General features: G+C 42.9%; 1 protein-coding gene and 1 long non-coding RNA gene across 12 annotated transcripts in view, besides 1 other annotated feature; one reads left to right on the top strand and one right to left on the bottom strand.

Moving 5' to 3' along the window:
- CASP7 (caspase 7) overlaps positions 1-21,396 on the top strand; it is a 51,716-nt gene that overhangs the window by 20,353 nt on the left and 9,967 nt on the right. The window contains exon 1 of one of the 11 annotated variants that reach the window (NM_001267058.2): positions 9,832-9,900. The exons of 9 other annotated variants lie outside the window; for them this stretch is intronic. In NM_001267058.2, the coding sequence (NP_001253987.1) occupies positions 9,866-9,900 (35 nt within the window). In that variant the 5' untranslated portion in view covers positions 9,832-9,865. Of the gene's footprint in view, positions 1-9,831; positions 9,901-19,677; positions 20,098-21,396 lie in introns of those variants that run through there. One more of the 11 variants, XM_011540260.2, reaches the window with a different exon arrangement.
- On the bottom strand, positions 11,135-12,303 carry LOC124902505 (uncharacterized). The gene is made up of 2 exons (XR_007062294.1): positions 12,044-12,303; positions 11,135-11,463 (listed from the first exon to the last, which is right to left on the bottom strand). It is a non-coding gene; the product is annotated as an uncharacterized LOC124902505 (long non-coding RNA).
- Positions 20,077-20,250: a silencer, noted in NCBI's record as "fragment chr10:115479382-115479555 (GRCh37/hg19 assembly coordinates)". NCBI's record gives its function as "represses an EF-1alpha promoter that drives an FKBP-Casp9 reporter gene in an ReSE screen in HepG2 liver carcinoma cells {active_cell/tissue: HepG2}" and the evidence as "EXISTENCE:reporter gene assay evidence [ECO:0000049][PMID:32094911]".

The raw sequence follows: 21,396 nt of genomic DNA on the forward strand, positions 1-21,396 counted from the left end.
ACAGCTCTCCTGTAACAGCTAGAACTTTTATGTCTTTTTTCCCTTCAAACTTGGTTTTTTCATTCTCTTTTCCTCCACATTTTCTTCTGATGTAATAGATTTAGTTGCTTGAAAGTCTTATTGATCACACCACATCATATACCTATGTAACATATACATGTATGCATATGTGTATCCATATAAATTTTAAGACAGTTTTCTAGATATCATGAGTATTAAAAGAAAGTTCTCCTAGACTAAGTTACTGTTTCAGCTTTAATGAATTCACAATTGATCTGAAAAATAAATGTTAATATATCATTAATATTATTAAATTGTCATTCATCAAAATAATTATTAAATAGAAATTGCATTGAAGTTTCAACTTATAATGGAATGAAGGGGCTCTTAATAAGTTAGTTTCTAAAGAAATGGACAAATAATACTTATTGCTGGAATAAGAAAGAATTTGATATTACCTCTTTTTCCTATTTTTCATTTTTAGAGATAAGATGCACTGAGAAATCATGAATAAATACATGAGATGGTAGGAGTTTTGTTACAGTCATGTCACTTAATTCTTTGAATTCCTTCTGAGTTCTGGACCAAAAAATGACAACTTGATTAGGTCTTTCCTTAATTATGTTGGAAGAATTGGCAATTATCTAACTTACAAAAGGAATTATCATTCCGCCTTAAAGGTATTTAATTTTTTTAGTTTCTGGGAAGTACACCAAAAAACTTGTACCCAAACTTCTCAAACAGTTGTAAATTAAATTTGCTCTTCTTTTATTTAGAGGCAGTCTGTTTAACTCAAAATGTTCCAGAAAAGATAATTAAGCATTAATAAACATTTGTCAGTATCCTTTTTTTGATAAAATGCTTTTAAACCATATGCTTTTTAAAATGTATTTTTGTCAAGACGTTGGAGTTGCTAATGCAGCTCATTCATGTATGAAAATTGTCTGCTCTATAATCTAATGGACAGAGCCAGTCCCTGTCAAACCAGTTAGCCATACCACACTTGTTTGCTGTCAGTAAAGGTCTGATACCATTTTTCAGTTCAGTGAATATGTTATTAGGCATCCTTGTGACAGTCATCTTGTTTCTGAATTCTAAATTTTTATTCTTGGATAGATGAATGGATGGATGGGTAGAAGGGAAGAAGGATGAAAGGAAGAAAGAAAGGGTACCAAGCCCAGCCATGCCATGTTTACCTCCTGGAATCAGTGTTTGTTTTGTTCTCACAGGACTGATATGGTTTGGCTCTGTGTCCCCACCTAAATCTCGTCTTGAATTGTAATCACCATAATCCCTACGTGTTGAGGGAGAGACCCGGTGGGAGGTGACTGGATCATGGGGGTGGTTCCCCCATGCTGTTCTGGTGATAGTGAGTTCTCATGAGATCTGATGGTTTTATGTGTTTGACGGTTCCTCCTACACACACTCTGTCTCTCCTGCTGCCATGTAAGACATGTCTGCTCCCCCTTCCACCATGCTTCCCCAGCCATGTGGAACTGTGAGTCAATTAAACCTCTTTTCTTTATAAATTACCCAATCTCAGGTAGCATCTTCATAGCAGTTTGAGAACAGACCAATACATAGGACTCCAGCTCAATAATAAAAAATCTTTGGAAATAAGGGAACGAAAAAGGCAAAGACATTAAATAAGAACCATCATCACTTCCATTTCATTCTATTATATATATATATTTTAACACATTTTTCAGTATATACAAGCATACTTTGTTTTACTGTGCTTTGCAGATACTGCTTTTCTTTCTTTCTTTTTTTTTTTTTTTTGAGACAGAGTCTCACTCTGTTGTCCAGGCTGGAGTGCAGTGGTGTGATCTTGGCTCACTGCAGCCTCCGCCTCCCAGGTACAAGCGATTCTCCTGCCTCAGCCTCCCAAGTAGCCAGACTACAGGCGTATGCCACCACGCCTAGCTAATTTTTATATGTATTTTAGTAAAGACAGGATTTTGCCATGTTTCCCAGGCTGGTCTTGAACTCCTGACCTTAAGTGATCCACCCCCCGCTTGGCCTCCCAAAGTGCTGGGATTACAGGCATGAGCCACCACACCTGGCCCAGATATTGCATTTTTAATAAATGGAAGGTTTGTGGCAACCCTGCAAACCTATTGGCTCCATTTTTCCAACAGCATATGCTCACTTTGTATCTCTATGTTACATTTTGGTAATTCTCACAACATTTTAAGTTTTTTAATTAGTGTTATATCTGTTACTATGATCTGTGATCAGTAATCTTTTTTGTTGTCGTTGTTCAAATCCAGGATAATCTCTGTAAATGTGATGAGTGATCTTTGATGTTACTATTGTAATTGCTTTGGGGTGCCACAAAGCACACCTGTATAAGACAGCAGACTTAAATGATAAATGTTAAGTGTGTTCTGACTGTTCCACCCACTGGCCATTCCTGTCTCTCTCCTTCTCCTTGGGCCTCCCTATTCCCTGAGGCAATATTGAAATTGGGCCAATTAATAGCCCTACAATGGCCTCTAGGTGTCTATTGAAAGGAAGAGTGATATGTCTGTCACTTTAAATCAAAAGCTAGAAGTGATTCAACTTAGTGAAGGCATGTTGAAGCCAAGACAGGCTGAAAGCTAGGCCTCCTGTGCCAAACAGCCAAGTTGTGAATGCAAAGGAAAAGTTCTTGAAGGAAATTAAAAGTGCTATTCCAGTGAACACACGGATAATAACATTATTGCTAATTATTGCTGACTTGGAGAAAGTTTGAGTGGTCTGGATAGAAGATCAAACCAGCCCCAACTTTTTCTTAAGCTAAAGCCTAAGCCAGAGCAAGGCCCTAACTCTGCAGTTCTTTGAAGGCTGAGAGAGGTGAGAAAGCTGCAAAAGAAAAGTTTGAAGCTAGCAATGGTTGATCCATGAGGTTTAAGGAAAGAAGCCTTCTCCATAAAATAGAAGTTCAACATGAAGCAGCAAGTGCTGATGTAGAAGCTACAGCAAATTATCCAGAAGATCTAGCTAAGATCATTGGTGAGAGTGGCTACACTAAACAACAGATTCTCAATGTAGACAAAGCAGCCTTCTATAGGAAGAAGATGCCATCTAAGATTGTCCTAGCTAGAGAAGAGAAGTCAATGCCTGACTTCAGTGCTTTATAAGGATGCTTGACTCTCTTGTTAGGCAGACTGGTGACTTTAAGCCGAAGCCAATGCTCATTGACCAGTCTGAAAATCCTTAAGAATTATGCTAAATCTATACTCTTTCTGTGCCCTATAAATGGAAGAACAAAGCCTGGATGACACCTGTTTATAGCATGGTTTACTGGATATTTTAAGCACACTGTTGAGACCTACTGCTCATTAAAATAAGATTCCTTTCATTGACATTGCACCTGGTCACCCAGGAGCTCTGGTGAAGATGCAGAAGGAGATTAATGTTTTTATGCCTGCTAAAACATCCATTCTGCAGCTCATAGATCAAGGAGTAATTTCAACTTCCAAGTCTTATTACTTAAGAAATAATGTCTTACTATTTGAGAAATATTATTTCAGAAATACATTTTATAAGGCTATAGTTGCCATAAATAATGTTGGGAATAACATTATAGCTATAGTGTTACCGCTGATGGATCTGGGCAGTTAATTGAAAACCTTCTGGAAAGGATGCACCATTCTAGATGCCAGTAAGAACATTTGCGATTTATGGGAGGATGTCTGAACATTAATAGGAGTTTGGAAGAAGTTGATTCCAACCCTCATGGATGACTTTGATGGGTTCAAGACTTCCTTCAATGGAGGAAGTAACTGCAGGTGTGCCAATCATGGTGGAAATAGCAAGAGAACTAGAATTAGAAGTAGACCTGAAGATGTGGCTGAATTGCTGCAATCTTATGATAAAACTTGAACAGATAAGGAGTTTCTTCTTATGAATAAGCCAAGTAAGTGGTTTCTTGAGATGGAATCTACTGCTGGTGAATGTGCTGATACATTTTTGAAATATACATTTAGAATATTACATAAACTTAGTTGGTAAAGCAGCCACAGAGTTTGAGAGGATTGACATGAATTTTGTATGTGTTTTAACTCTTTTTTTGTTTGTTTTCTTTTAAACTTTTTCCTTTTTTTTTTTTTTTTTTTTTTTTAACGAACACTTTCGTTGAGGGCTGACTTTCAATAGATCGCAGTGAGGGAGCTGCTCTGCTACATACGAAACCCCAACCCAGAAGCAGGTCATCTTTGAATGGTTTAGTGCCAGGTTCGCCAGGAACATGCATTGCGTGACAGGCGAGGGGACAATCACCTTTCTGTTGACTTGAATTTTGAATGAAGTTGTACTGTGAATAAAATGCTATCAAACAGAATGGTATGCTACAGAGAAATTGTTCATAAAAGGAAGAATCATTTGATGCAGCGAACTTCATTGCTGTCTTATTTTAAGAAATTGTCACAGCCACCCTAATTTTCGGCAGCCACCACCAGATTAATCAGCAGGCATCAGTGCTGAGGCCAGATCCTCCACCAGCCCAACAGTTACAACCCACTGAAGGCTCAAATGATTGTTAGCATTTTTTAGCAATAAAGTATGTTTTAATTAAGATATGTATTTTTTGGACATAATGCTGTTGCGTATACTCAGACTGGAGTACAGTGTGAACATAACTTTTCTACCCACTGGGAAACCAAAAAAGTCAGGCGACTCCATTTATTGCAATATTTGCTTTCCTGTGGTGGTCTGAAACTGAGCCGACGGTATATCTGAGTTGTGCCTATATTTGAATTTGGAACAGCCCAGTGTGGTCCCACGTACCCCCATTACTAGTGACATACTTCCCCTTTATCAGACTCATGTATAAGTAAGAAGCCCACCACAGTGCCTGATTCAAGGAGACTCACAGATACATCTTGTTTGTCTCTTTGTGGATGACCTGGAGGTTTCATCACCCTGTAAGTGAGGTTCAGGGTGGGTGAGAAAGTCTGCCCTTCTTTTACACAGTGGGAGATGGGAGAATGGGCAAGGGAAAAGTGGTATCTCTGACAGACCAGTTTTAGAAAAAAATACAAGTGGCAGTTGAGGACCTGGCCATTTATTCTTCCCTTAAGACTGTGCACCCCTGGGAAAGTTTTTGAGTACCTTGCTGGAAGACTTCTGCCTAAAAGACCTTTTATTTTGCAAAAATAGATGTGGTCTGTGGTATGTCCCCCCCACCCCTCAGCTTTAAGTTCTTTGGAAAGATAAATAAGCCTGGAGGGTCTACATTCTGGTCCACTCTACCTTTTTCATAGCATGACTGATGTTGACGTCATTAAAATAAACAGTAAGTATCCCGAGGTCCTCTCTGCAGTTTCAGGAGCACCATGTGACCCAATGACAGATGTGGGGTGCGATGCATGGGAGTGCCACTGGCTCCTCTGGATGTTCGTTGTAGCTGAAGGTGCTCCGCCCCCCCCCCACACCCCTACAACCTTCCCTCCCATCCCATCCCACCCTATTCCAGCTCCCTTCTCTAAGGAGCTCAGAATCACTGTTAGGCAGTGGAGGAGGCAGTAGCATCTCTGACCTGACTCTAATCAAGGACCAGACTGCTCACCTGCCCTCCCCTGGAGACATGAAGGATCCTGGGTTGCAGAAAGAAATATCCCCTTCCCCAAAAAGCCAGGGTGGGACTCAGGTTTCAAATACTAACAGTTTCAAGCCCCTAGACTTGTCTTGGCCTTTTTTTTTGCCTCACAGCCACTAGATGGCAGGACAGCATCGTTTTATTTCCAGTCCATAGGCACTAAAAATCCAGCCTGTTCTTTAAAAAAATATTTAGTGATTTTGTAATTTTCTGATTATTGAAGAACATTTGGAAAACACAGAAAAGCACAAAAAAAATCCAAATATCTTAAAATTTGTAAAGCATTCAGATTTTTAGTTATTTAGAGGAAATCATTGTGGGGCCAGTCCATATTCATTATGAACCACAGTTTATAGAACAGGGTCTAGGGTCCTCCTTGCACTTGAACAGGGTTCTGTCTTGATGTAAATATAACCCTATAGTCCTTGCCCTGGATATAAAGTCAAAGTTTTAACCAAATGCCTAGGCACAGCTACAGAAAATAATAACTAATTGCTGAATTGTAGGACATAGCCTTGGAGCTGTGGGAGGTTGAGGAGGGAAGGATAAGGAAGGACTGGAGGAGGAGCTGAAACTTGAGTTGTCAGGAAAAGCAGGGGGGGTATCAGGGGACCGGTGGAACCTCAGGGCCAGGGTGGAGATGATGGTCAGGCAAGGCCACCGATGTGGCTTCTGCCTAGGAAAGTGGGCAAAATCTGCTGGACAGGGTGAGTTAGGTCTTAATAGCATAGGCCACAAGGAGCCATTGTAGGTCCAAGACCAAGCCCTGGCCAGCAGCCTAGAAGATATTCTCTCCTAGGAACCTGAGAAATCAGAGGCTCCCTTCTGAGCTCTGCTCAAGGTCAGAATTCAAGAAAAGGAAAAAAAGGGGAAAACAGGTTTCCCGCAGTCTCAGATTACCCCTGGGCCTCCGTGGAGTCTCGTGTGTCTCTGCTGAGGAGTTTGTTTACCCTTCTGGTTTCCCAGTGGAAGAGAGCAGGAGAAAAGATCTATTCTCAACATTTGCTAAACTCCCTATTTTCCAGGCACTGGCTCGGATCACATGGGTTTTACCCTTGGCATCATCTCTGTTTTCCAGCCTTTGCCCCCTGGAGGGTGGTTAATAAATGCCACTTGGTTATAATTCTCTCTCCTGGAGGCATCTTGGGCTTCTTCACCAGTGAGTGAAGATATGTAAACACATCCCTATAAAAAATGTGTTATTTGTATAATTATAAGGAAGATTCAAGTGGCATCCTTTTTCATTTGGAGAGGGGTTAAAAAACTGTTTTAGAAGACGCAATGCTTTGGAATTAGAGACAAGAACAAAGAAGGCAGACCTTAATTCATTCCAAAGAATACATTCCAAGTTAAGCAAAAATTGTGCCATGATGCCCATTGATTGAAAGGGGCCAGATCTGGGCCCACTAAAGAAAATATGAACATTGAAATTTATGCAGGGCGTTTACTTTTCAATAAAGGAAGGATTCAAATTCAGCTTCCAGAAAATTGGATGCCTGTCTCCCAAATTTGTACATAGAGAATGATAAAGATTTAATGCTGTATTTGAAGCAGTGATGACACTATGTAAAATAATAGAAGTAGCAAAGTTGAGTCAGACAACCGGGGTTCAGATCCTGGCCCTTCCTCCCACTTACTATTTGAGGGACTATAGCAAGTCACGTGACCTTCCTGTGCCTCAGCTTCCTTATCTGCATAATAGAGATATTGATCTCTGCCCACGGGATTGTTATGAGAATCAGAGTAACCGTCAGCTTCCTGAATTACCTGAATGTGCCTGCTGAGGAAGAAATCATAGAATCATGATTTTAACACTGGGAGAACTTACCTAATTCCCTTCATTATGATCAAGGAAAGGAAGACCAGAGAGGTGATACGTAGCCACCCAAGAGGACCAGGACCGAGACACAGGCCTAACTTGTCCAGTGCTTCCCCCCAGCGTCAGGTGGCACCCACGACTTTGGTGGCACCAGGCTGTTCATCCACATTAATCCACCCACAGAGTGCTTTTTTCCTTCCACCCAAGTGGGTCAGCAAATTTTCTTCGTGTACACGGCTTCTTCTCTGCTTCACTTTGGCAGAGGGATGGTATAGGGACAGCTGTCCCAGCAGGGCGAGCAGTGGGCTTTCCAGTGGCGGAGGGATGGCATAGGGACAGCTGTCCCAGCAGGGCGAGCCATGGGCTTTCCAGCGGCGGACGGATGGCATAGGGACGCTGTCCCAGCAGGGCGAGCAGTGGGCTTTCCAGTGAAGAGGGCCAAGTGTACGTTTCAGGAGCAGCAAGCACAGGACACCAAAACGTGGGCAGAGGTCTAGAAACTGCAAAGCTGTAGCTTCTGCATGTGTGGGATACCTCCAGTTCTTTTCAGTTATTGCTCTTCTAGAGGGGATAAATTAAAGTGAAAAGGTAAGGTAAATCATCAGCTTTTCACAGTAATAGAAACCTAGAACACTATTAGCAGAGAAAAATTAAGCCTAGTAATAGAAAAGTACTATGAAAACATAACCAGTTGCTTCTCACATGAACATGTGATCACAGACAGGAAATGTGAGCGTGGCATTGCATGTTTAACCCCTGAGCTGCTGGTTTTCTTTCTCTCAAGGATCTGTGATGATGAGAATTTTGTTTGTTTTGTTTTGAGACAGAGTCTCACTCTGTTGCCCAGGCTGGAGTGCAGTGGTGTGATCTCACCTCCCTGCAACCTCCACCTCCCAGGTTCAAGCAATTCTCGTGCCTCAGCCTCCCGAGTAGCTGGGATTATAGGCGCGTGCCACCACTCCTGGCTAATTTTTTTGTATTTTTAGTAGAGACAGGGTTTCACCATGTTGGCTAGACTGGTCTCAAACTCCTGACATCAGGTAATCTGCCTGCCTCAGCCTCCCAAAGTGCTGGGATTATGGGCGTGAGCCACCCTGCCCGCCAATGGTCAGTTTTAAGGGGAAAAGATGGGTGGAGTGATTAAGGACTGAAGTATGTTAGCTGTTCTAATGCTGGACCCTGCAGCCGTAATACAGACGTATTGTATCCTCCATTCAGTCTATTAGGCTATTTAAAGACAATTCAGCCTTTTCTACCCCCTGGATGATTTGTTTTAAAGTCATTTGTCAATTTTTATTGTCAGGGACCCTACTGGTTTTGTTTTTTTGTTTTTTTTTTTTAGGGGAAAGAGGGAAATGTGGAGGTTGGTATGTTTTGGGGAGGGGGATCTATTCTTCTCCTTAGCCTCTTTTAAACTGAGTTTGCTTCCCCATGTTTATATTTTTGCAACTGACTTTCAGAGAAAAAAATGTATAGAGCGAATTTTCTCTCCTGTTCACAGACCTGAGGATGGCAGGTGATCAAGAGGCTTGTGCAGGGTAGCAGGTGTCATAACCTCATTGTATCAGCTTCATACCCTTTCTAGACTGTGGTCCTGAACCAAGAAATGGAGAAAAGCGTTGCTGAGCCGTTCACTTTATAAGTGTTTGGTTTTTATGTGTTTGCATTTTCCTTGTTGCATTTGGAGGGTTGAGATGGGGAAATACAGCAACTCCTGGATCGTTCACTTTATGCAAGATCATTGAAAAATGTTTGTATGCCTCATTTAAAAATGAAGGGCTTTGGTATGCTTCCGTGGTCTCCTATTATTTTTATTCACTTGAGTACCTTTAAAGGAAAAACATAACCTAATGAACTTGAACTCTTTAATTCACCACACACTCACTTCCTGTTTTTGTTGATTAACTTACATATAGTTTGACATGTTTTGCCGTCATGTGAGTGCCGTTTTGCAGCCTGGTGTAGATTTGGGACTTCGGTGGGTTGACCATGTGTGATGCTCATCAACTTGAACTGTATGATGGTTTGTTCTGTTGATACTCTGTCTCTTGCTTAGCTATTCCCCTGTCGTTCCCAATTTTTCACTCTTAAAGATTGTGCTCCTGGCTGCATGTTTATGGAAATTTTGTTTTCTTTTTTCCTTTGGACCCCACGCTCACAGACAGTTGCTTTTTTCCACAGGAGCCATCCCAGGGTTGGGGGATGCTACAATGGGGAGCCGGGGCATTTCTGCCGGTCAGCAGAGAAGGGAGAGGCCAGTGTGACCTTCCCAGCCCGAGTTTGAATGGTCCTGTGGAAAACTCCAGCGTGCAGTTCACTGCTGATTCAGTCACAGGCCTTCAGGGCCAGGCAGCCTGTGCCAGTCTTCTATCCCCTGCTGAGCTCCGAGCATGTTGAGTTTTTATTATTACAGAGAAGAAGGAAACTCACTTCCTGTCGTCGCAGAGCACAGCCTAGTTCTGATGCAGAGGGGACTGTTTTCAGATGGAGACACTAGGTACTACTACCTGCACTCTTTCTTTTCTTCTCTGTCTTGCTCTGTGCCTTAATATGTTAGGACTGTGGGGATGCCCTCTGTTGAGATGTTGAGACCATGAATGAATCATCCCAAAAATATTTAGACAAAGTGGCTACGAAAACCAGAGCTCTAGTTCCGAATGAAACAGCTCTGGGGAAATGTGAGCCTGGTGGTGTGTTTACTTTCATGCTGATGAATGTCTGCAGGCAGATAGAGCTACTGGGAATCCTATTCATGGTGATGCTTTAGAAAATTAATCGCAGTGGGCTTCTTGCATGCTTATATTCCTTTCCAAATATAGAAAGGCATAATTCACATTTTGAGTAGCCCAGGGGATCCATAAGAGGATAAAACCTGTATTTATCCACTCCAGTGATGGGGAAAATTACACTTGCACCCGGAGTGGATTGTAAAAATCCATTGTACTCTTTCTAAGGTTTTTCACTTCTTTGTAAAGTAGGCAGAATATTTTTATCCTATAACGTTTTCTGATACAAGTTGCTGTAGGCTCTTCAAGGATGTCTTTTTATCTAAATAATCATGAGAGCTTGGTTATAATTTTTTGACTCTTGACTGTTGTAGTGAAAATGACTGAGTTGACCTCACACTGTGAAATTAGAAGTTGCAGGAAATGGCTCTCTACCTAAGAAGTTAGGACACTCTGGTTCCTTCCTGATAGTTGATGCTGGCATTATTTGTGTTCCTAGCAGAGATTTATGCTTATCTGAACACATCTGGAAATGAAGATAGTGGTACTTGCCCATACTGGCGAAGAAGCTCAACATGAAGAAAGAGATGGGATGGTTAGGAAGCACTGGGTTCAACCTGCTGTGTTAACTTTCCTTTGCATTTTAGTGTACACTTAAGTGCACTTAATAAGTCATTCTACCAAGATATTGTAGTGTGTTGTGATCTTGCTTGTCTGGCTCTAAGCATAGTGATTTAGTAGCCAGGTTTCTTTTTTTAAATCTGCAGTGAATTGTGGAACACAGAAGCTTTTAAGCGGATTTAGAACTTTCAATTCACTGCTCTGGTTTATCTTGGACTTTGCACTTAATGGCAGGTTCCAAAACAAGAATCCTATGTTTCTTCGCAAAGTAATCTTAGTAAAAGTCTTCCGAATATAAACGGGGCCAAAGTAAAGGTAGTTGCATCAGCAGTTAGCAAAGAGAGGAAAAAGAGGAGGATGGATAGAATGGGAAGCGACAAACTCTGGAGGAAAAACTACCCTGGCCAGTTTTATTTGCCTTGTCTTTCTTTGCCTCTCATCTGTACTTTGCAGAATCAGTGGGATAATGATTGTTAATTCAATTTGTAAAGCATAAGCCTATAAAAATATTCATACTTCTTCATGGTGACTTAAAAAATATCTGAAGTGGTTCCTCCACCGTTTGTGTCGTTCATCAGCTTCGGAAGAAAGACTCATACCCGTTGATCTGGACTTGAAAGAATCTCAGTGGCCTTTTCCTCCTGCCCCTCCGTTTGGCGGGGTACAGCAGTTCTCACATGCTTCAGCATCTTCTGCAGTGAGGTCCTAGGAACCTGGAGAAACAACAACAGCCACTTTTAGAAAATCATGTCTTTGGGGATGATTGCCAGCTGAAGAAGTTTCTAATCTGGACCTTTGAAAGCATTTTATTTTCCTTCTTTTTCCCTCCCCAGCTCCCACCCCTGGGAGAACCTGCTGGACTGAGCTATGGACTGTTGCCTTCTTTGTGCCATTGGCTAATTAATTAGCACAATCTCCTGGGAGCCCTTGAGGCCCTTTCTTCTGTCCAATAGCAGTTGTTTAGCTGATGATCTGCTCGACTCCAGCAGCTGATTTCCAAGCAGACAGTAACTCTTTTATTCGCTGCTGGGACTGAGATCACAAAGCATGTCTCCTCTGACTGTGCTGAGAGTGAATTACTGCTCACACCTAGGCTGCCCTGGGGACTCTACACAGTTTGTTACAAAGGAAGGAGACTCTAAGGATGACACTGCCTGCTGGGGCATTTCCTGGAAGGATTTTGGTGGTGGCATTAAAGGAATTTCAGTTTAATGTTCAGCTCAGCTGTCATTGCTGGGAGACCTTGCAGGTTCCAAGGAGAGTTGTAAATTGCCCCCGTGGCCCTAAACATACCCTCACTGCTGCAGAGGGGCACCTTCCAGAGGCCGTGCTTCCTGAGGTATGTCAGGTTCCATCTCCTGGCCAAGAGCCAAGGAGCCAAAAGGCTGTGCACAGCTGGAGAGGTGTTTGATACCGTAGAGCGAGCTGGTGTTCTCCGCCCCACACAGGAGTGTGAATCGGCACCACGCAGGAATGTGGGGCCAACATCTTCCATCAACTTCTCCACTTCCACGGGCTCTGGAAGTAGGCGAGGGGCTTGAAACAAGATCAGAGACAGCAATGAAAGGTCAGAGCCAAGAGGGCCTATGCAGTGGGCGGACAGGCTTGTCATCGTGACCCTCAAGCTTCAGAGGGTCCGAGATGCTCAGACCCTCTGCTGCTGCCATTGATCAGCATGTTGCTTTTGTTCTGTGCTTAACACTACTTATTGGAGATCATCCCAGGAGAACGCCCACACCTGACCTGAGACTCATTCTGTAGGTCTAGAGCAAAGCATAGGATTCCGAATTTTAACAAAGTTGAGAAACTCTGGAATAGGAGACTTGGGGTTACACCTTGGAATGAATCCAGGCTCTATTCCTCTCTAGCTTTGTAATTTTGGACAAGCTGATTTCATCCCTCTCTGTGAAATGGAACTAATACCTCACAGAACTCTTGAAGATTAAATGAGATAATATATGTAAAGTGGTAAATGATCAAAAAATGATGTTTATTATAACTGTATTTATTATTGTTGTTATTGCTGACACAGTGGAGTAAGAAGTTTAAAAGGCTAGGCAGAGGGATAAAGTCACAGTGAAAAATAGAAAAACGGGGTGTCTAGGGAGCCCCCTCAATTAGCACAAAAAAGTATGAATCCAGTGATCTTCAAAATAAGCCAGATCTTGAAATCCGTTTGTAGCAAGCAAGAGACTTTTAACTGTTAAATGGCAATTATTAGTTTAGTGTTTTAAATAACTTATTTGCATATAATAAAAAGTTACACAGAGTTCTTCCACTCTTGCCTACTGTCTGCTCCCAGCTCCCTGTAACACAGATAACCACGCTGAAAGATAGACATAATAATGAACCGGCGTCAGTGTCGGGAGTAAATACCCAAGATTCATTGTCTCACGGCCACGGAAAACTAAGACACAGACACACAAATACTGAGGTTCAGAGTGGAAGTTTAATAAGCAAAAGAAAGAGAAGAGCTCTCTCTACTGCAGAGAGAGGGGTCCAAGAGAAATGGATTGCTGGTTCCGCAGTGGAATGCAAGGCGTTTCATAGATGAGCTTGAGGAGGCAGTGGCTGATTTACATAGGATGCAAAAGATTGGTTGAACCAGGTGTGTCATTTGCATAGGGCACCAAAAACTGTTTAGGGCTAGGTGTGTCATTTGCGTAGGGCATGAAAAAGCTGGCCACCCCACACTCATCTTTTATTATGCAGCTGGTTCTCCACCTGGCCAGCGCCATGTTACCTGTTTCCTTACTGTACATGTGGTGGCAAAGAAAAGGGAAGAGTGGAGCCTCCATGTTAAACATACCTGGCCCTTACGTAGCCCTTTTCTACTGGCATAGCTGCCGGTGTTCACCCGTGCAAGCTTCCAGCTTGCTTATCTATGTCTGCAGCTTGATTTTTCAGACTGCTCTTTGTTAAAAAAAAAGAAATTATTTGGGGCCTGCTTTTTGTTAAAAGGGAAATTCTGTGGAGGACTCTTATACCCTTACTATCTGCCTAAATAATTTCTATCTCCTGTATCAATAACAGTAATAATCATGATGTTTATTTACCACTTACAACAGGACACACACTGTTCTAAATGCTTTGTGAAGATTAACTTGTTTACAGGCTCTGAGCAAATGCTGTTATTTTGTCCTTTTAACAAATGAGGAAGCACAAGCACAGAGAGGTTAAGTAATTTGCCCACAGTCACACAGCTATGCAGTAGAATAGGGAGTCAAATCCACACAGCCCAGCCCCTGAATCCATGGATTTATCTACTGCACCATCCTTCAAGTGTCTCTTTATGCAGATACGAGCAAATCTAAACATATTTTCTTTTCTTCTTTTTTTTTTCCAAAAGGTAGCACACTGCTGCCATTGTTCTGCAATTTGGTTTTGTTCTGCACTTAACACGACTTATTGGAGATTGTCCCACATCAGAACATAAAGAGGTTCCTCATTCTTGTTTACTGTACTGTGTGATTTTGATTAAAGAACCCTCCCTTTATGATCCAACCTGGTTATTATGGGAGCGAGTGACTAATTGAATAAGCTTATGTCTGCCAGATAGCTCTTGTAATTGAAGTGTGCTATGAAGGTTCAACACTGGAAATGGGAGAGTCAGGGGAAATGAGGGAAGAAAACTTATTACTCCAAAAATGTTTCCAGGTAGTATTAGGTCTCCCACCTGAAAGAAATACTCAAGCAAGAGTTGTCCTGCGTTCGGGCTGCCCTAAATTAACTCCCTCTCAGAAATCTGTTCTCTTCCTATATGTGAGCTTTGAGCCTAATGAGGCTGTACCTAATGAGTGTCTCTGCAGCAGCCTTGCAACAAGAATTGGCAAAATGGAAGTGCGGGTACCAGTGTGCCTGCCCCTCCCTCACCTGCCCCTGACATGTCCTGCTGGTCACCAGGCAGGACGGCAGCTCCATTTAGCTGATCACCTAAACAGAGGTGGCCCAGGGCCTCTGACTGTGGTGTTTCTTCAGCACGAAACGCTCTTCACTCATTCACAAAACACTGTTGAGCACCTGCTATGTGTCTGGCACTGTTGTAGAAGCTGGGGGAACTGCAGTGAAGTAGTCCAGGTCCTGCCCTCATAGAGTTTACACTCTAGCAGGAGACAACATAGCTCTGTAATTTGAGGTCAGGTGATGAATTTAAAAATTAAAGCAGGGGCCGGCGTGGTGGCTTACACCTGTAATCCCAGCACCTCGGGAGGCCGAGGTGGGCAGATTACCTGAGGTCAGGAGTTCGAGACCAACCTAGCCAACATGATGAAACCCCATCTCTACTAACAAAATACAAAAAAAATTGCCCGGTTATGGTGGCGTGCACGTGTAATCCCAGCTACTCCTGAGGCTGAGGCAGGAGTGGGAAGGAAAAAGTGGATATAATAGGGGTAGTAACTCATGTAGGCCCTGTGGGCTGTGGTCAGGACCCTGGAGTTCCTTCCCAGCATATGGGAAAACCACTGGATGGCTCTGGGCAAGGAACTAATCTGACTGGATTTATATATTTTTTTTTTTTTAAATACAGGGTCTCCGTTGCCGAGGCTGGAATGCAGTGGCGCGATCTCGGCTCACTGCAGCCTCTGCCTCCCAGGCTCAAGTGATCCTCCCACCTCAGCCTCCCAAGCAGCTGGGACTATAGGCGTGCACCACCACGCCTGGCTAAAATTATTTATTTATTTGTTTGTTTGTTTGTATTTTTTGTGGAGACCAAGTTTCTCCCTGTCGAACTCCTGGACTCAAGTGATCTGCCCACACTGGCCTTGGAAAGTGTTGGGATTACAGGCACGAGCTACCGCACCTGGCCTTACCATTTTATTTAAAAGCTCACTTTGGAGAGAAGCCAGTTAGGAGGCAATGGTGGACAACAGGTCAGAAGATGATGTACCTTGAGCGTTCCAGGGTCCTGGCCTGAGGGAGCAAGCAGCATGATGCCCAATGAACTAGGGTTGTTGTGTGCAGAGACAAGAGACCCAGGGATAGTGGCCAGCTCCACCGGGTGGGAGCCATCGTGGGTGCCCTGGGTCCTGCCATGCCCTGTGATCCTCCGCAAGCAGGTCTGAGCCGTGCAGGGGAGAGCTGCACCAGGACTGGGGCCGACAGGCCAGCAGGGACACCCTGAAGGCTTCAGAAACCCTGGAACGGAGTTTCACAGGGAGCCCTGGGAGGGCTTTAAGTGGTGATGGTGGAATCTGATTTTTGTTGTTGTTGTTGTTGAGACAGTCTTGTTCTGTCACCCAGGCTGGAGTGCAATGGCATGATCTCGGCTTACTCAAACCTCCGCCTCCCGGATTCAAGTGATTCTTCTGCCTCAGCCTCCCGAGTAGCTTGGGATTACAGGCACAAGCCACCACGCCCAGCTAATTTTTGTAGAGATGGGGTTTCGCCACGTTGGCCAGGCTGGTCTTGAATTCCCTACCTCAGGTGATCTGCCCGCCTCAGCCTCCCAAAGTGCTGGGAATACAGACGTGAGCCACTGTGCCCAGCTTGATTTCTCTTTTTAAAGGAACGCTCAGGCTCACAGGAATCTTGGGTGAACGTTACCCACTCTCCTCTTCCATTCCCACATTTCTCTTATCCATTGGCTTTGTTCTGCCCAATCTTTGCCAGTCTGTCCTCTTGGCTCCTCAAGCCACATGGTAAAACATGGCGGCCACCAACTCTCATTTTAACCACCTTGACAGAATGACTCTTTTTCTCAATTTCAATTCTCAAATTCCCAGGGAAGAGGGCTGATTGACCCAGCCTAGGGATCAGGTGCCCCCTGGACCAATCAGTGGTGGCTGCAAGGTCAAGGGGACAGGATGGCAAATCACTTTCTACCAATATGGTGGCTCTCACTGTAGCCTCAAAGGGAGAATAGGGATGAAAGGGATTTAATCCCCAGGGGAAAGAAGGTGCCTTAAAACATCACAGCTTAGGTGGAAGCCTAATCTCTTGGACTCTCATTCTTGCAGAATATATCTATAAGCAGTGGACTTTTAGTCCCTCTCCCCTTTTTTCTGGTGCTTTCCTCCTGATGCCTTCTAGACAATCATTTGCACCTTTTCTTTGTCTGTCTCCAGTTACATGTTTTAATCATCGGGGTTTGCTTCCTCAAAGTTAAGCTATGGATGGAGTTTTCCCAAGGCCAGCTCTTCTTAGGAGGATGAATTGAATTCATCCTCCTAAGAAGAGATTGAATTGATAGTCACTCACAAACACACATCTGTGGTCTGGGAAGATGTGGGTTTAACAAAAAGCTATTTTGGTTAGAAGGAAAAATTAATATTGACTGACTCAAATCCAGAAAGAGGAAGCAGATACCAAGTTCATTTTGAAAAATAAGAGTTCATTTTAGGGGCAGACTAGCTAAGCTCTTTTGCTTAGAAGGAGAAATTAATATTGGCGGACTCAAATCCAGAAGGAGGAAGCAGATATTAAGTTCATTTTGAAAAATAGGAGTTCAATTTAGGGGCAGGCTAGGTATCACCCTTTTGAGATATTTACCAGGAGTGAGGACCACATTTCATATTCAGTTGTAAGGTACTTTTCATAACCATGGACAGTGTTTTCTTAAAGTGTTTCTCTTTCTTCCCCTATTGTGTTCTTTTTATGTAACCAGTTAATTTTCCAAATTTTATTCTGATAGAACCAGAGTCCTTTTATTTTTTACATAACATATCTAATTCTGTTTTTCTCTTAAAGGATGCTTGCTGGTTTTGTTTTGTTCATCACTGAGGATGAGCTAATGACAGCTTTTAAAACATCCCAGCTTGTTTTTTACTTGGATATCATCATAGAGATCCATACCACAGAAGAAAGAAGTAGGACTTTTATCTCTGAAAGGATTTTAGTGCATAAACTGTGACTTCCAGCCTGCTAGACTTCATGCTAGTCTTAGGATCTTTGAATAGCCTTAAATTAGCTGCAGGATCCAGGAAGCTTGCTCTGAAATTCAGTTGACATGGTAAGAACCCTACTTTAGGCCAGATGTGGTAGCTCACACCTGTAATCCCAATACTTTGGGAGGGCGAGGCGGGTGGATCACCTGAGGTCATGAGTTCAAGACCAGCCTTGGCAACATGGTGAAAACCTGTCTACTAAAAATACAAAAATTAGCTGGGCGTGGTGGTGCACACCTGTAATCACAGCTACTCAGGAGGCCGAGGCATGAGAATCACTTGAACCTGGGAGGCGGAGGTTGCGGTGAGCCGAGATCACGCCACTGCACTCCAGCCTGAGCGACAGAGAGAGACTCCATCTCAAAAATAAATAAATAAATAAAAACTCTACTTTACCTATTCAGTGTTCTTTTCTTTTATCCCATTCTGGCATTTTCTGAAGGGTTGCAGAGAGCACTGGTTGAAGCCTATCCTGAAGCTACCTTGGTAGAGGAGTTAATTGCACCAGGAGACCTAATTTCAGAAAGGTCACAGATTATATTCCACCCTCCACAAAAGTAACCTGGAAGATGAGTAAGTCCTGTCCTAAATTTTAGTACCAAAAACAGTGTTTGCTCAAAGAAAAAATAGTCTAGTAGAGAAAAGCACACCCTTTGGGGTCAGACCACCAGGAATCACATACAAACTCTGAACCTGAATTTTCTTATCTACACGAAGGCAGCATGGCTGTGAGAACATGCAGTGATTTTATAAAACTCCTGGCCCATAGGTGGCAGGTATTAATAGGAAATAGCTACGTAAATATACTTCTTCTGGACTTAGGTACTGTTTTTGCATTGGTCACCTCTGCTTTTGAGTCTCACTCAAGAAATCTTTGCCCAGACCAATGTCCTGGAGAGTTTCCCCAACATTTTCTTCTAGTATTTTCATAGTTTCAGGTCTTAGCTTTAAATCTTCCATCCATTTTGATTTAATTTTTGTATATGGCAAGAGTTAGGGGTCCAGTTTCATTCTTTTGCATATGGCTATCTAGTTTTCCCAGCACCATTTATTGAAGACATTGTCCTTACCCCAATGTATGCTCTTAGCCCCTTTGTTGAAAATGAGTTTACTGTAAATGCATAGATTTCTTTCTGGATTTTCTCTTTTTTTTTCCATTGGTCCGTGTGTCTTGTTTTTATGCAAGTCCTATGCTGTTTTGGTTATTATAGCTTTGTAGTATAATCTGAACTCAGGTAATGTGATTTCTCCAGTTTTGTTCCTTTTGCTCAGGATGGCTTTGGTTATTCTGGGTCTTTTGTGGTTTCATATAAATTTTAGAATTTTTTCTTCTATCTCTGAAGAATGTCATTGGTATTTTGATAGGGATTGCATGGAATCTGTAGATTGCTTTGAGCAGTATGGAGATTTTTAACAATTTTAATTCTTTGAATCCATGGCCAACTTGCTTGGATTTGGACTTGCTGTGCCCCCTCACAACCCTGAGCTAGTTACTTGCCCACCCCAAGCCTCCGCAGCTCATCCTTAAAGGGGGTTACGATGATATCTGCCTCCCTCTTTGAGTTGCTATCAGAATTCAGTGAGGACATGCAGATGAGAGTTTTAACAATATCTGGGCCCCTAGTAAGCACTGACAAATGTTAATTATTATTGTTACTTGTAAAATGGGCATGATTATCCCCCACTACCTACCTCTGAGGCACCTATCGAACACCAGAGATTTTGTGTGTTCGAAAGACTGTGCACACATTATTTTAAAAAGTACAGAGGACACTGTCAATAGCAGTCATTAACAGGGTGGCAATAAGGAAATCCTATTGCTGCCTGAATGGTGTGTCCTTGAACAGTGCAGAAACTCCCTTTGCTGATACATCTCCAAGGGGCAGGGGGTGGGGATACATCACAGGAAGTACCTGCTGCCACTGCAACTCCCATCTAATTTTGCGACAGTCACGAAATGCGTCACCTACTGCATGCAACTGACTGCGTCACATGAGAGGAAGTTGGTTTTCTGCAAAGGGTAACAACTCACCGGATCAGGTCACACGGGCGGGTGGACGCAGAGCTCCGACTAGCCGCAAGTCCAGCGCTCTTTTGTGCTGCTTCTTTGTGGAAGGAAATGTGAAGAAAACCCAGCGTCACCCTGTAAACCAGACAAAATACAAAACAGTGGAGAAGCCCAGAGAAGGCAAAACAGATTCCGGATATTTCTCTTTTAAAAGTAAAATGGCATCATGGAAGAAATTTGGCCTTCCGAAAGTGGAGGATAAAGTCATGTTCAAGGGGAAGAACAGCAATACAGCATCTGCGGCTTAGACATACAGAGCTCGTCTGTAATTTGGAGTAAGATAGGAGTGGGGGCGGAGAGGGGGAAGGCCATGCCCTTTCAGAGATTCTGAGAAACTCCAACCATAAAAGTCCATGACAACTCAAGTGCAGTACCCGTGACCCCATGTTTGTCAGGTAACAAGCTGGGTTTTGACTTTTATTTTGCTGCTTCTAACTCTGGCTGGGCGCCATGGGAGAAGGGCGGGCAGATCACTCTATTGAATACTCCAGGGGACAGTGTTGCAGACTGGGACCCACCCTTCACTAGCTGGGTGACCTGGGACAATCCCCGTCTCCCCATGGACCTCAGTTTCCGTATCTGTAAAATGAAGTGGATACAATTCTATTCATTCATTTATATAACAAATATTTATTCAGCAACTTATATGTTGGGCATTGTTCTCCCTATTGGGGATTCAGTGATTTTCAGAACGGAGAAATGTCTCCCTCCTGGAGCTCACGTTGGCATAGATGGCTGGCAAGACAGCTTCCCACCCTCATTGGAAATGTGTCCCTCTGCCCGCTCCATGGTGCCTCATGCCCCACCACACTGCCTACCTGCTAGACTTTTGGCAAACTGGACCACCAGTTGTCTGGAGATTGGAAAGAGCCTACTTTTTTGTTGTAATCCTTCTGTTCCTTTTTCCCCCTTTTAATGTAAATGTTATTAAAACATAACATCCACATAGAAAGTGCACATACTGATAAATTTTCACCAACAGAAACACACATGTAACCAGCACCCACACCAAGAAACAAAATATGACTCACACTGAAGAAAGACCCCATGTCCCTCTGGTCTCTGATCTCCACCGTAGGGAAAACCATCTCCAGATTTCTGATCCTAGGTATTAGTTTTGTTCTTTTTAACTTTGTCTTTGTATATACCCTTTTGTATGTCAGTTCTTTCACTCATTGTTATATTTGTGAGGTTTATTCATGTTGCTTCACATTGTGGTGGTTTGTTTATTCTCGTATAGTATTTCATTAGACGAACGTTCAACAATGTGTGCATTTGACTGTGAATGGACGTACAGATTATTTTCTGCTGGAGGCCATCGCTGAATGGTATTGCTGTGACGTGTGGACCTATCTTAGTGAACGTGTTTGCTTTTCCCAGGGGAGTTGCTGTGGCATAGGTTATGTATACATTCCATTTCAGTACATTCTGCTGGTTTTCCACAATGGGTGTACAAAGTAGGTTCCCACCAGCAATGTTTGATAATCCAGGGAGCTGAACATTTTGCATCTTTTACGCTGTAGCCATTCTGGTAAGTGTGTACTGGTATCACATGGTGATTTTAATTTGCATTTTTCTGGCATCTAATAAAATTTGCCAGGGGACCCTGTTCCACTTAAACATGACAATTAAACAGAGCCGTCTGTCCACGCCAGGTCTTTTCTTCAAGGATACTGCAGTTTTCTTAGGCATCC

Source organism: Homo sapiens, chromosome 10 (assembly GCF_000001405.40).
Source record: "Homo sapiens chromosome 10, GRCh38.p14 Primary Assembly".
NCBI lineage: Eukaryota > Metazoa > Chordata > Mammalia > Primates > Hominidae > Homo > Homo sapiens.